This window comes from Homo sapiens, chromosome 16 (assembly GCF_000001405.40).
Source record: "Homo sapiens chromosome 16, GRCh38.p14 Primary Assembly".
Taxonomy (NCBI): Eukaryota; Metazoa; Chordata; class Mammalia; order Primates; family Hominidae; genus Homo; species Homo sapiens.
In genome coordinates, this window is record NC_000016.10 from 21,272,464 (window position 1) to 21,288,428 (window position 15,965).

At 43.6% G+C, this 15,965-nt stretch overlaps 1 protein-coding gene across 2 annotated transcripts in view, besides 1 other annotated feature; it reads right to left on the reverse strand.

Annotated features, from left to right (window-relative positions):
- Window positions 1-15,965, reverse strand: part of CRYM (crystallin mu) — a 44,542-nt gene that overhangs the window by 13,943 nt on the left and 14,634 nt on the right. Inside the window, exons 2-5 of one of the 2 annotated variants that reach the window (NM_001888.5) lie at window positions 6,391-6,497; window positions 5,619-5,873; window positions 4,968-5,121; window positions 3,069-3,131 (exon numbers count right to left, since the gene is read on the reverse strand). In NM_001888.5, the coding sequence (NP_001879.1) occupies window positions 3,069-3,131; window positions 4,968-5,121; window positions 5,619-5,788 (387 nt within the window). In that variant the 5' untranslated portion in view covers window positions 5,789-5,873; window positions 6,391-6,497. Of the gene's footprint in view, window positions 1-3,068; window positions 3,132-4,967; window positions 5,122-5,618; window positions 5,874-6,390; window positions 6,498-15,965 lie in introns of those variants that run through there. The other variant, NM_001376256.1, reaches the window with a different exon arrangement.
- Window positions 5,619-5,828: an enhancer, noted in NCBI's record as "active region_10553". NCBI's record gives its function as "activates an Ori minimal core promoter by ATAC-STARR-seq in GM12878 lymphoblastoid cells {active_cell/tissue: GM12878}" and the evidence as "EXISTENCE:reporter gene assay evidence [ECO:0000049][PMID:35858748]".

Genomic DNA, 15,965 nt, shown 5'->3' on the forward strand with positions numbered 1-15,965 from the left:
TGAATTAATTCCTTGCCATACGATGCTAGGCTGCTTTGTCCCCTCTCCCCCTCACAAGTAACTGATTATCCTTCAATCTCAGCTCAAATATCCCCTACAGAGACACAGCCACAGGCTAGATCAAGACATACTGCTTTACACTCTTACAGCACTTGTCAGCGTTGTAGTTTCATATTTATTGGTGTGAATTTTTTTTTTTTTTTTGGAGACTGAGTCTCACTCGTTGTCCAGGCTGGAGTGCAGTGGTGTGATCTTGGCTCACTGTAACCTCCGCCTCCAGGATTCAAGCAATTCCCTTGCCTCAGCCTCCCAAGTAGCTGGGATTACAGGCACCTGCCACCATGCCCAGCTAATTTTTTTTTTTTTTTTTTTTTTTTTTTTTTTAGTACAGATGGGGTTTTTCCATGTTGGTCAGGCTGGTCTTGAACTCCTGACCTCAGGTAATCTGCCTGCCTCAGCCTCCCAAAGTGCTGGGATTGCAGGCGTGAGCCACTGCGCCCAGCCTATTGATGTGATCTTTGGACTATATCTTGCCTCCCCCACTGGACCCTGTACTACATGAGGGCAAGTACTGTATCTGGTTTTGCTTACCCCATGCTGAGCGCAGAACCTTGCATTTGGTGGACACTCAAATATTTGTTGAATAAATGTATGTTAGTGCTAAACCCTAATATATACTATCACCTTGAGAAAACATATCAGAGGCTTCAATGAAGCTTATGTGAGACCCAAGCACAAAAAATGTATTATGTTCATCAGACCCTAGAGCTCCGTATACTTATTCTCCCCAACAAGAGCCCTAAATAGAAGAGAAATGATGGACAAGAAAATATTCTACTCTCAAGGCAACAAGTAAAATAGACCCTTTGTTCCTTATTGAAACAGTTCATCTGAGCCCCTGGAAATAAAGCTGTGAAGTTTCAGCCTAAACTTTGAAGTGTCTAAACTTTGAAGTGTCAACCCAAGGCTTCTTGATTCTTCTGGGAGCACAGATTTTTATTAATGCAACAAAGCAGTGTTATTGCAGGCTGGGTCTACAAAAGTGTGGTTTCCAGACCTGGTTGATCCTCACTCTGTGATTTTGATTCAGTAGGCATGGGAATTTGAGTTTTTAAAAACTTCCCTAGCTAATGCTGCTGCATAGCTTGCTTCTGTTGGAAACTTCTTATCTGGGACAAGACCATGTGGCCTCAAAAGGACCCGCAGGAACCTGGTTGTATGACTTCAGGAAACCCAAGTTTCTATTCTTTTATGCGTAAAATGAGGCCATTAATACTTTCTCTGCCTTCCTCACAGAAACTCGTAGTCCAGACAAGGGGCTGGAAATGAGTTTGAAAAAGACTAAAGCTCTTTGCAAATGACAGTAATACAAGATTCATTCTGTTCCCAAATTACCAGCAAACATAGCAAGGAGTCCTTGATTACTTCAGTTGAGTCAGGTCTGGATATAACTAAAAACCAGTTCATTGAGGTGGGTGCTGTTGGTCTACTCCCTTCGCATACAATTACCAGATTAATCCTCCCATTCTTCCCTCCCCAGCAGGTATCTAGAAAACCTCGACATGCAACCTGAACACCTGGTCTTTGCTGCTGCAACTTTCCCTGGGTTACCACGTTTCCTTTATAATAACTTAGGAAAACCAGTGTCCCAAGACCTTGTACTTCCACATTTAATGTGAAAGACTCCAGACTCCAATCGTTCCCACAGACACCCTGTTTCCTAAGCCTCATCCTCTTAACTCTAACTTTTAAAAATGCTGTTTTTCTTATAGGATGCCTTGACATTGCTTGGGAACATCATCACCCCCATTGCTTACTGTTCCCTCTGCCTGGAGTGCCCCTCCGTGTTTTTGCATGGTTCGCTAACTCACTGCTTTCAGCTTTGACTCAAATGTCACCTTCTCAGGGAGGCCTTTCTTGGATAATGTAAAATGTGACAGCTTCTCCAATACTCTCACTTCTGCTTTATCTTCACCTAACATGTTATGTGGCTTTTTGGATTATTGTTGGTTTTATTTTTTAGCAAATTCTAAGCACGCTATTAATCATTTATTAATATGTACTAATTATTTAATTACATATTATTTATTACTATTTAACACATTATTAAACTCAACAGATGTTTTTGTTTGTTTTGTTTTGTTTCCTTTTTGTTTTGTTTTTTAAGACACTCACTCTTTTGCCCAGGCTAGAGTGCAGTGGCTCGATCTGGGCTCATTGCAACCTCTGCCTCCTGAGTTCAAACGTTTCTCCTGCCTCACTCTCCCGGGTAGCTGAGATTATAGGCGCCCACCACCACGACCAGCTAATTTTTGTGTTTTTACAAGAGACGAGGTTTCACCATGTTGACCAGGCTGGTCTCCAACTCCTGAGCTCAAGTGATACGCCTGCCTCAGCCTCCCAAAATGTTGGGATTACAGGCGTGAGCCACTGTACCCAGCCTGTGTTTTCCTTTTTATTGGTATTGTCTACCTCCCCTGTGTGTGCCCCTCTGTTTTTCTCACTGCCATTTCCCTAACATTTAGAACAGTGCCTGACACATGATAGAAGCCCAGTCAATACTTGTCGAATGAATACAGGGATCTGGCTTGGATATGTTCAGTTCACTCAGCCTCTTGTGTAGTACTAGCTTTGGTCTATGGGACAATTATACTGTCTTACCAGGGGCAATGTGGTACAGGGACAAGAAGCCAGTCCTGGAAGCCAGAGAGGTCAAGTATTAAATTCTTACTCTAGCACTTATTAGCTGTGTGATCCTGGGCAATTCACAGAAGCTCTCTGAGCCATATTCCTTGACCTGGAAGGTGGAGAGAATTTCTCATTTCGATTCTTCAAGACTGATGGGAAGATTGAGAATTATGCACATAAGGTACTTGAAATCTGGTCATGCACACTAATTGGTAGCTAATAATTTCGTGAATTACTGATATATCTGACATCTGGAGTTCCAGCTATGTCCAACAGGAAACCAAAATAAGTTCCCCACTTCTCCTTTAGTCTCTCAAGATTGAGACACCAGACCCCACTTGACAGCTCACCTTAATGGTACAGCCAGCCATTCATCTTACCTTGGTGGCAATGGCAGAAACTGCAGCTGTTCTCTTTGCAGTTATGACATTTCCATCCATGACCTTGGAGGAAAAGAGAGACAGTGAGCAAGGGGAACCCCTGTCCACTGCATAAATTAGAAGAAACAGTTCTAAAATATTAGCTTAGGAAGTTTTATAGCATCCTACAAACAGCATGGGTTTGGCGTCAGACCTGGATCCGATTCCTCCACTTACGAGATATGCAACTTTGAACAAACACTTTAATCTTTAAGCACTGGTTTCCTCACCTGTAAAAAAGATAATGCCAGCCATTCAGAGGGTTATTGTGAGGATTAAATGCACTGGCATATCTGGAAACATCTAGCACATGGTGAGCCCTCAAGAACTGCCCATTTTCTTTTCTTGCCCTAGGATTCTCAAAACACCAAATTAAGAAGGAACTAGAGAGAGAAGGTTGCCAATTGACATCTGGACAACGGCCATGAAACTCTTAGTGGCTCTCCGTTCCTGCTGCACATGTGGAAAGCTTCGTGAAGATGCTCAGATACCACCCTTAGATTAACCCAGTCTGTATCTCTTCCAGGAGTGAGACCCAGACAGCCCAGGTGATTCCGATACACAGCGAAGGTTGAAAATTATGCCTCGCTAGTAAAAACCATCCTCTGCACTCCTCTCCCTGTTATTCATCTCAGCTGATCATCAAAAAATAGGCATCATCAACCTCATTTTACAGATGAGGAAGTGAATCACGAAGTCACTGAGCAGATTCAGCTGTCATCTAGTTTCAAAGCCTTGGGTTCTACCCCCCTAGGGAACCGCTGTTGGCAGGTAGTATGAATGCCATCTCGGTTGGATGAGTGTAAGTTGGGGAAAGCTAGATATTCTCAAAGGAGTGTTAAACGGCCAGATTATTTGGCGATCCAGAAATTCAGGGGAAAAGGAGGGACATTGTAAGACCCAGCTTGGAGCGCACAGACCTTAAGAGTTAACTGTCACACCTGGGAGTGATTCTTGAGTCTTTCACTAACCAGATGTGTGACCTCAAGCAAAGTGACTCTACTAACCTGAGCCTCAAGGACCTCAACAGAAATTGGGGGGAAGGGGAGTTAATAAAAACACCCATAGAGGAATTTTGCAGAATTGAATGTGATCAGCGTCTCCTTCTTGGCACATAAGTGCCCAATATGTAGCAGTTAAAATGGCGGTGGTCTTAGAAGAGTCTGGACCTATGGACCGTGGACTTAGACTGAGCAGCTCTGAAGTCCAACCATGCTAATTGTTGGTTACATAAACCTCGGTAAGTTGAACATAGTTGCTCTGACTCGGTTTCCTCATCTATAAAGTGGGAGTAATCATATTACCCATATCATAGAATAGTTTTAAGTATTAAGAGGATTAATAAATGTGAAATGTTTAGAAAAGTGCCTGATGCATTATAAAAAGTACTCCATAAACACAAGCTACTGCTACCTTTTGAAACTATGATTAGATATTAAAACAGGTCACACCGTATACCCCTCTGAAGACTCCCAGGGATTATAGAACACCCCTTCTTTTCCATGTCGACAAGGATTCAGTAAGTAAGTCTTCCCTTGGCTAATGGGTTCATTCAAGCTGCGTATTTGGGGCAACTGAGTATAGGACAAGGACATATGCAAGAATGACAACAAGATTATTATTTCCACACTGTCACATGCTTGAGGCAGCAGTGGGCGCTGGTGCCGTGTTATGCATCCTCAGGCAGTCCTAGAAATAGATACATGGACACAGATAACCTTCACTGTTGCTGGTATCCAGTCACTTGCAGAGGGGCACGCGTAGTCACAATCAAGACTCCCCCTGCTGCGGAGAACTTACTTTTGAGCTTCAATCTGGGCCCAGGGGCCCCATTCCACCCCGGGACAGGAAGTTGCTCACCGCCAGCAGGGTGCCATTGCTGGGCTCAAAGAGTAGCACAGTAGCCTGGTGGGAAGGGACGACCGAGGTGATGCCGCGGTCCTCGTAGAAGGTGACCAACTTGGTGGTCAGTGCATCCTCTGCAGCACTGTAGGCGGGCATGACCCCCAGGTAGCTACAAGGAGAGAGGGAGCAGCTTCAGCCCCTTCCCATCAATGCTGGGGTCTCTTAGAAAGTATCCATATACTTTCCTTTTTCTTTCCTTCCTCACCACCCCACTGGCCCTCTTCCAGCCCCCGCATCCCTCTGCCCTTCCCTTAGACACTATGCACAGTATGTTCAGAAGTCTGGCTCTGGATCAGAAAACCTTTCCAGCTCTGCCACTTAGTAGCTGTGTAAGCTTAGGTAAGTCACTTAACCTCTCTGAGTCTCAGTTTTCCACCAATCAAATGGTGGTATCAATACCTCCCTAGGTGGAGAGTGTGCTGAAATAAACAAGGTAACACCTGTAAAACGCCCACTTAGCACACCGGGTAGCGCCTATTAAAAGTGGCAGCTGTTAGCAACGGTTAGGCAAGCCGTCTCTTCCCTTCTCCCACCCCTCCTCTTCCTGCTCCTCCTTTCCCCGCTTTCCAGTTTCTCCTGCCCCTGACCCCGACCCTCCTCACTCACCCCCTGTGCTTGGTCACCGGCACCACGGTGCGCACGGGCTGCATGACCCCTCCTTCGGGACCGCTGGAGAAGTTGGCCAGGGCCGTCTCTAGAGGCGGGATGAGGAGGCTGGAGCTGCGGAGGTGTTCCTCCACCTCGGCCGCGCTCAGGAACGCTGGTACCCGGCTCATCTCGCCACCTGTGCCTTCTAACCTCAGTCTCCGCACCGCGATCCACGTACCCTCGGCTGTGCCCTTTATGAGCGCGCCCGCTGCTCTGTGGAGCCGCCTGCTGGTCACAGCCCAGCCTCCGGGGGCGGAGCAACCCCGCCCCGCCCCGCCAGCCCTCTCCTCCCCCTTCGCCCACCTCGACCCCTAAGGGTGGGCGAGATGGGTCCCTTCCAGCAACGGATTCCCCAAGATGGACATCGCGGTGGCGTGCTGGGAGTCAATATTGTTTGGTCCACTTTCTCAGTTCCTGTAATCAGCTGTAGCCACATTCCTTGACTTTTGCTTCCTACATAACCCCTCCCTATTAACTCGCTTTTTGCTGCTGTCTAGGTCACCGTGCCTGGGAAAGAATGGACAGGGAAAACGCTAACGGGGCTCCTTTATTTATTAAATTACTGCCTACTGCTAGGAGATAAAAGGAGACGGAGGCTTATTTAATTTTTTTTTCCTTTTAATTCTGTCCCCGTCTAGAGTCTCTTATCCTAGTCTTCCTCCCCCCTGTACCCCCAGATGTCTGGCCTTTGATTGCTAAGAACGCACAGTTTTCTCACAGGCTAACTAACCTAACAAACCTTCGCCTTTAAAGGGGGGAAGTTTGCAGGGCAAGGTGTAATCTTTTCCATCTCACAAAAAGCCAAATTGCAGGATCTTTTCTTCCAGGAGTTTTTACCTGAGATGGGGAAATAAAATCGGAAAGGAATGATGTAAAGCTTAAGGCAATAAATCCTAGTCATCAAATCAGTGATAGGAAAAGTAAGTTAATTCAAAGAAAAGAGAGATGATTTTGACCTGGAGTGGTTAGATAAGGGCTTCATGAAAGAGTGGGGAGAAACCAAGGTCTGAAATAATAATAGTGACGACAACAATGATAACATCAGGTTATTGATCTTTACTATGTACCAGATACTGCACCATGCACTTTATGTATATTATCTCATTTAATTATACAACAACCTCTAAGGTAGGGAGGTGTTGTTATTAGTTTTACTGTCCATTGGAGGCTCTGAGAAGGGAAGAAATTTAGTTCAAGGTCATCCACCAAGTCAGCAGAGGAGCTGGCTTTGCCCATGGTTGGACTTCAGAATTATATTCCTAATCATTAAGCTACTTTGGCAGAAAGAGAGGAAGAGGGCATTACAGGCCAAGTAAAGCCCTGAGGTGGAAGGCATGTTGAATAGCTCTGGGAACAGTGAGTTGCCAGATGTGTTAGGCTGGAATAAGGTGCTGAGGTCTAGGAGCATCAGAAGATAAAACTGAGAACGATTCTTGGAGTCAGGCAGCTGAGAATGGTGATTCCTAGGAAAGAAATTACATGCTCCAAGAGAGTAAGCATTTAGAAAGATGGGTCTTCTGCCAATGCAAAGGATGGAACAGATGAGCGAGAGCAGAGCCTGGGAGAAGGTCAAGAGGCAGGACTGCTGAAGTTGTGCTTTGTGGTATTTTGGTTGGAAGCTACATAGGGCATTTTGTAGGAAATGGTCACATCATGATAAAAGACAGTGGATGAGTAAGTGTCAAAATCAGTACCAATGAAATGAGAAATTGTACATAATGTGTTTAGCAACAGTGCTTGGCACAGAGTAGCCATGTAATAAGTGAACACTGAGAGAGAAAGAGAGAGAGAGAGAAGACACTGGTGGTTGGGAAAAGCTGATTTCAATGACACAATTTTGTTTCTTCGGTTCACCATCCCTAGAAATTTATGCCCAGAGCCGCTGGGCTTATAGAAATGTTTCTGGCCCATCACGTGTGCTGTTAGCATTAATATTACATCACATTTATTGGGTTTAGAAAGCACAGACATATAGCCCTGGCATGATAGTTCACGCCTGTAATCCTAGCACTTTGGGAGGCCCAAGTGGGTGGATTACCTGAGGTGAGGAGTTCGAGACCAGCCTGGCCAACATGGTAAAATCTTCTCTCTACTAAAAATACAAAAATTAGCTGGGTGTGGTGGCGGGTGCCTGTAATCCCAGCTACCCAGGAGGCTGAGGCAGGAGAATTGCTGGAACCCGGGAGATGGAGGCTGCAATGAGCCAAGATTGCACCACTGCACTCCAGCCTGTGTGACACAGTAAGACTTTTTTGGCCCTTTGTTTTTGTGAATGTGAACTAAAAATAAAATCCTATGCCCCCCACCTACTGAATGAACCCCCTCTGGGCCAAGCAGACCCCAGAAAAACCTTAAAGACTTAGTTTCCAGCCATGATGGGATGGCAAATCAGATATGCCTCATTACATCCTCTCCCTTTTAGAGTTTAGACACAACTGAGCAGCCTTAATGTTAATACAGAGATCACAAGACTGACAGAACAGACTCTTTGTGGCAATACGATAACAAATTATAAACAGGATCTAAGGCCATGCCAGGAAGGGTTAAGTCACGCACCCTTACACTTAAAGAAAAAAGCTATGTTCTAACTGCCACAGAGTTTTTGTTTTCTCCAGCAGCTAAACAAGCACTGGCTTGAAGATAAGCAATATTTTTGTTTTTGTTTTCCCCAGCCCTGCTCAGAGAAGATAGGGAACATGGCTTGGGCACAGTGGCTCACACCTGTAATCCCAGCACTTTGGGAGGCCAAGGCGGGCGGATCATGTGAGGTCAGGAGTTTGAGACCAGCCTGGCCAACGTGATGAAACCCCATCTCTACAAAAAGTACAAAAATTAGCCAGGTGTGGTAGCATGTGCCTGTAATCCCAGCTACTCAGGAGGCTGAGGCAGGAGAATTGCTTGAACCAGGGAGGTGGAGGTTGCAGTGAGCCGAGATCGTGCCACTGCACTCCAGCCTGGACAACAGAGTGATTCTCTCTCTCTCTCACTCTCTCTCTCTCTCTCTCTCTCTCTGTATATATATATATACACAAACATATATGTATATACATATATACGTATCTATGTATCTATATAGATATGTATATGTATCTATGTATCTATATAGATATGTATATATGTGCATATATATATATATAAATTTTTTTTTTGAAACAAAGTCCCTCTCTGTCACCCAGACTGGAGTGCAGTGGCATGATCTCAAGTGATTCTCCTGCCTCAGCCTCTCAGGTAGCTGGGATTACAGGTGCATGCCACCACCCCCGGCTAATTTTTGTACTTTCAGTAGAGATGGGGTTTTGTCATGTTGGCCAGGCTGGTCTCGGTCTCGAACTCCTGACCTGAGATGATCCACCCGCCTTGGCCTCCCAAAGTGCTGGGATTACAGGCATGAGCCACCGTGCCCGGCTGAAGATATGCAATATTAAAACAATTACAACTCATCCAAATCACAGATATTGACTAACCGACCCCTTGTTCCACCAGCCATAACTACAGCTTGATTGGACAAGAGACTGATTTCAGTAACTTTCTCCTGATAAGACTACCGACTATAGGATGGTTCTGGCTGACTTACAGAGGTTGCACACTTGCATGCCTTCATGTCCTGAAAAGACCTTTTGACGTATCAGGCTGAATTGTAATACATTTAAATGCTGCAACCACCCCAAAATGAACATGAGTTGTATGTAACATGCATGTTTGTTAAATACACATGCATCAGGACCACTTTCATGAATATTCATAGCTTCTTCTCTCACCTGTTGAATATGTATATTTAGCCAACCTGTTGAGCATAAAGCTCCTACCCCAACCCTCCTCCTTCAAAGTGCCTGTCTCTGATCTTGGCCAAGGCATGTGATATGGTTTGGCTCCATGTCCACACCCAAATCTCTTCTTATAGCTCCCATAATTCCCACATCTTGTGGGAGGGACCCAGTGGGAGATGACTGAATCATGGAGGCGGGTCTTTCCCCTGCGGTTCTGATGATAGTGAATGAGTCTCACGAGATCTGATGGTTTTAAAAATGGGAGTTGCCCTGCACAAGCTCTCTCTTTGCTATTGCCCTCCATGTAAGATGTGACTTGTTCCTCCTTGCCTTCCACTATGATTGTGAGGCCTCCCCAGCCATGTGGAACTGTAAATCCAATAAGCCTCTTTCTTCTGTAAATTGCCCAGTCTCAGGCATGTGTTTATAGACAGCATGAAAACGGAATAATACAGCGTGCTTCCCAGCATAGGATCCCACCTTGCAGGCTGTAACCTCGTATAAGAAAGTCTCTTCTTGTCTAAATTTATAAATTGTGTGGTTTTTTTTTTAAAGTTAACAAGGAGAAAAAAAGCAAAACCAAATACTCATCAACTAAAAGAGATATGAAATAAGAAAGCCAGATATTTATTTGCTTCCATAGTAAATTCAGGAATTTAGCCCCGATTAAATAGAAATCTTATTTCTGACTCCCACATTACTAGAAAGTTTATTAATCTTCTTTAAGTCATGATTATAATAGTAATTTCATTATTTTAACAATGACAAAATAAGAAACCTCAATAATAGGAATTCACTCCAGTGAATCCTGTAGAAACAGGACAACTCTGCAAATCATCTCAAATCATCTTCCTGATAAAGCTTTGGTTCACATCACCCAGGTCCTCAGTAAAGTAGCACTGAGAAAACTAGTCTTGGTTGCATCACTTCTTTTGAGACCAGAGGCACAGAGAACTAATTGTCCCAAGCCTCCAATAATAAGTATTATTAATAAGTAGCATATTAAATATTAGGTGTTATTGAGGTTTATTTTATTATTATTAAAATAATGAAATTATTATTATAATTATGACTTAACAGAAAGAAGATTAATAAACTTTTTAGTAATGCAGGGGTCAGTATTGAGAAAGCTGGTGTAAATCTCTTTTCCCCGCCCTTCCCTGAGACCTTGTCCTGGGACAAGCCTGGGGGCCATGTAAGCTCCTGTGCCTGAGCCTCTGGAAGTTCCCTGCTAACCCCTAACAGACCCTGCGGAGGAGGTGGTTACTTACATCCCCCTAGACTTCTGCCACTACCACAGTGAAGATGGCAGCAGGGTAGAGCTGTACCATAGTGAGGTACTCACCTATGGCACAAAATGTACGGGATTCACTCAGTAGTCATGATAAATATTAAACTAAAACATCTAAATGCAATATTTAAAATAAAAATCAATGCCAAAAAATCCACAGTGAACAGAGTACAAAAATTTTCAACAAAGACGGCTCAGGATTACTGACTTTTCCTTTTGCTGTAGATGCCAATACAGCTCCTCACGAAATTTTATCTTTACATTTTATTTTAAAATGTAAAAATATTGTATAAAAGTCTTTATTTTGACTATTGAGTTGGCTTCACCTTGAATGCTGCAGCCAAGGCGCGTGTCTCATTCCCCTTATCCCTAACCTCTGTCGTCCTAGAGTTGGGGGACTGAGCGGTGGGCCAGGACAAGCAACGGATGAAGTATCTCGGAAGCCGGAGAAGGGTGGTCTGGGGCTCTTGGGAGCATGCGCGGGGTGGGGCGGTGGGGGGACTGAGGTGGCGCTCCCGGCTCCTCCGCGCGCCCCCGGCACCTTCCGCGCGTCCCCGGCTCCCCACACTCCGTCCCCGGCTCCCCACACTCCCACCCCGGTCTGCCCCGGGCGCCCCCGGTTCCCCACCTCCTGGTGTGCCTCTGGCGGGTCCGCGCAGGATCAGGCTACAGACTCGCCCGCGGGCGGCTGCGCGGCGGGCCGTTGGGGAGGGTGTTGGGATGAGGAGCCCCAACCAGATGGACGCGCACCCCGCAGCGGCGGAGGCGGCGGCGAGGCTTGAGCAGTGAGTGCTCGGGAGCCCCGGCCAGCCCTTCCTCCTTCTGCCTGCGTCCTCTGCGCTGGCCGCTGCTCCAGACGCCAGGGGGCCCACCCGCTGCCCGTGGTCGGCGCGCGGAGCTCGAAAGCGCGCGCCTCTAACAAATGAAAACCCATAGGGACTTAGGGTTGAATTTTAACTTTTTTTTTTTTTTGGCTTATTGTTTAGTGCTAGATAGAAGGGTTTGAGCGGTGTAGTCAATTTTGGTGCTAGTCTGACTTGAGGCAACGTGACGTGACCTACGCGTCTCATCAGTAATGCAGAAATAACATTTTATCCACTTCATCGGGCTTTTCTTTTTCTTTTTCAGAAAATTGAGGTAAAATTCAAATAACATAAATTTCACCTTTTTTACCCTTCAAAGTGCACAGTTCCCTGACTTTTAGTATATTCACGATGTTGTGCGACCAACACTACCATCTAATCCCATTTTCATCACCCCCCAAATAAACCCTGTACTCATTCAGTTACATCCCATTCTCCTCTCCCCACTGCCTCTCCCAATTGCCAATCTACTTTTTTGTTTGTGGATTTGTAGGTTCTAGACATTTCTTTCTTTCTTTCTTTCTTTTTGTCTCCAGCTGCATCTACATTGCTGCAGAGGACATAATTCCATTCATTTTTATGGCTGTATAGTATTCCATAGTGTATATGTACCACGTTTTCTTTATCCAATCCACCATTGATAGGCACCTAGGTTGATTCTATGTCTTTGCTATTGTGAATGATGCTGCAATGAACATACAGACGCATGTATCTTTTAGTAGAATGATTTATTTTCCTTTGCGTATATACCTAGTAATGGGAATGCCGGGTCAAATGGTAGTTCTAAGTTATTTGAGAAATCCCCAAACTGCTTTCCACAGTTTCTGAACAAATTTACATTCCCACCAACAGTGTATAAGTGTTCTCTTTTCTCCACAGCCTCACCAGCATCTGTTTTTTGACTTTTTAATAATTGCCATTCTGACTGATGTGAGATGATATTCCATTGTGGTTTTTATTTGCATTTCCCTGATGACTGGTGATATTGAGCATTTTTTCATATATTTTTTGGTTACTCGTATGTCTTCTTTTGAGAAATGTTTGTTCCTTTTGCCCATGTTTTATTTGGGTTATTTGTTTTTGGCTTGTTGAATTGTTTCAGTTCCTTGTAGTTTTGTATATTAGACCCTTGTCAGATGCATAGTTGCAAAATAAACTTGGGGCTTATGATACTTCGCCTGATTATTTACATAAAACACAGTGGGCATAGTGAATGGCTTTTAAAAGTTGGCTTTGCTGGGACTTTTATACTAAATTTTGGATTAGACTTTTAAAAGTCTTGAGGCTAGGAAGCCAAACCAAGTATTTGCTTGGCTGTATCTGTAATACCTGTATGAATTGGGTTAATTTCTCTCTTCTTGAGTTCCCAAAATATACTGAGGCTCGTGGCCCTGCCAGAAAGTGACATTCTTTACTTAGTGCAAGCACAGAAACCATACAAGGGAACTGTGTAGACAAGGAACCATGCCAGACTTTCCAAAGGGCTTTTTATCAGCACTATAAAATTGTAAAGCTAATCTCAATTCCTCCAAGCAGTCTGGTCATCTCTGAAAATATGCCATTCCAGCCAAAGCCTTGATAAAATAGCCAGTGTATCTAATTATGTCCTGTTATAAAATAAAACAGATCCTTATTGAACTTATGCAAATAACTATTTTGCCATAAATTAAGAATACTCACAGTTTCCAAATTTGGGAGAAATCCAGTAGTGAGAAAGGCAAATGCTTCAAATTTGCCCACAAAGGTATATTTACCCAATTTTTGTAAGCTATGAATAGCTCAAAAGAAAAAAGGTTTATTAACTCTGGAAGCAAAACATAAAAAGAATCAGCAATGTTTCAAGCAAAAAAGTTATTAAAAATCATCTTTGTCCTCTATCAGTTTAGTCCCATGTAGCTAATTATTATTCCACTTGATGTTGGGTTAGCAACCCTCATGAATGCATCAGGTTTTTTATTAGAGCTCTGGAAGTTTTTGCCCACTCCAATGGTGTGATCTCCAAAGTTATCAGAAACCTGGATTCAAGAGTACTTGTCATAGTTCTTTCCATGAAGTTCCTTAAGAAGAAGCCAATTTTGGACTGTAGCTGATTATAAACCACTTTTTGAGAAGAATCAAAATAAAACAATAATTGAGAATGACAAATCTCTTAGAATAGACATAGTTAAAGACAGAATTTTTTTTTTTTTTTGAGACAGAGTCTCACTCTATCGCCCAGGCTGGAATGCAATGGCGTGATCTCAGCTCACTGGAACCTCCACCTCCTGGGTTCAAGCAATTCTCTTGCCTCAGCCTCCCAAGTAGCTGGGATTACAGGCGCCGGCCACCACGCCCAGCTAATTTTTTTTTTTTTTTTTTGTATTTTTAGTAGAGGATTTTGCCATGTTGGCCAGCCTGGTCTTGAACTCCTGACCTCAGGTGACCCACCCGCCTCGGCCTCCCAAATTGCTGGAATTACAGGCATGAGCCACCGCACCCAGCCTAAAGACATAATTGACAAGGATATTTGATTATTTCTGTGGCATACAATTTAACATCATTGTAATGATTACCGATAACATATACCAAGACATATCAGAATTGTAGGAATTTCTTACAATTTTGGAACATACTTTAATAACACTTTTATGTAAATATGACTCAAAGAAAGTCAAGCACCATTTCTTATTTGCCAGTGTTTCCTATATAATTTTAACATATTAAATAAGCCTACTATGTCTCTCTTGGACATCTAGGAGTTCCTTTTGGAAGATACTTAATTTTAGGCCGGGCGCAGTGGCTCACTCCTGTAATCCCAGCACTTTGGGAGGCCAAGGCGGGTGGATCATGAGGTCAGGAGATGGAGACCATCCTGGCTAACACGGTGAAACCCCATCTCTACTAAAAATACAAAAAATTAGCTGGGCGTGGTGGTGGGCGCCTGTAGTCCCAGCTACTAGGGAGGCTGAGGCAGGAGAATGGCGTGAACCCAGGAGGCGGAGTTTGCAGTGAGCCAAGATCACGCCACTGCACTCCAGCCTGGGCGACAGAGCGAGACTCCGTCTCAAAAAAAAAAAAAAGGAAAATACTTAATTTTAGAATTTGAAATTTGATTTTTGGAAGTATGTCAAATACTAAAGGCTTAAAACACTTCATCAAAATAGAATCACTGGTCACTGTAAAATAATAGTCATTCATTTACTCAAAGTGATAATTCAAAGATTTCAAATAGAAAAGCCTTTACTCTTTGTTAGAGAGGAAATTGTTTTCCAAACAACCATAAGACCTATTTTTTGGTAGAGTTTGAGAAGGTATGATATAACAGAAATATGTATTTGGTCTTCATCCCTTGTTCCTGGCACAGAGCTCCCACAGTCCTTGGAATTTCTGGAATGAATGGAATATCTTTTCTTATTCAAAACTTGACCATACGTGAGTTTATGCTAATAAAGTGACCCCAGGAAGGCCCTTAGATAGCTTGAGGATAGGTGCTGGTTGCCAGAGGAATCAACCATGTGATGAGGATTGAAACTTTCAGCCCACATCCTCACCCCTGATCTCCAGGAGGGAAGGAGACAGGAGATTGAGTTCAGTCACCAAAGGCCATTGCTTTAACCAATCATGATTACATAATGAAGTCTTGATACAAACTCTTGAACAATGAGATCTGGAGAGCTTCTGGGTTGGTGAACCCATCGGTGTGCTGGGAGGGTGGCACACTGGAGAGGGCACAGAAGCTCTGTGTCCCATGCCCCTTGCCCTGTGCACTTCTTCATTTGCCTGTTCTTTTGTAATAAACTGTAATTGTAAATGTAGCACTTTCCTTAGTTCTGTGAGTTGTTTTTAGCACATTATCAAACCAGAGGAACAATTGTGGGAGTCCTAACATTTGTAGTTATCCAGGCAGAAGTGCAGGTACCCTGTATTCCCTATTTGTGGCTGTGTCTAAAGCGGGTGCAATCTTGTGGGATTGGTTCTTTAACCCATGGAGTCTGTGCTAACTTATAAGCTTAAGCAACAAATGAGTCAAATAAAAAATCACAAGGGAAATTCGAAAATACTTTGTAGTGCTAGAATTGAATTCAATTGTAGGACACCCAGTTGGGGTGTCAGAGAATAGGACAATTGGTTGTTTATTTAAAAACCAAACAGGAGGACCAATGTAAATTATTCTTTAGATGTTTGGTGGAATTCACCATTGAAGCCATCTTATCCCAACCTTTTCTTTGCTGAGAGGTTTTTAGTTACTAATTAAATATCTTATTATAGGTCTATTCAGATATTTTACTTGTTCTTGAGTTAGTTTTGTAGTTTGTGTGTTTCTAGAAATGTGTCCTTTTCATCTAGGTTATGAATTGTGTCCTTTTCATCTAGGTTATCAATTGCCCTACATTTGTTCATAGTA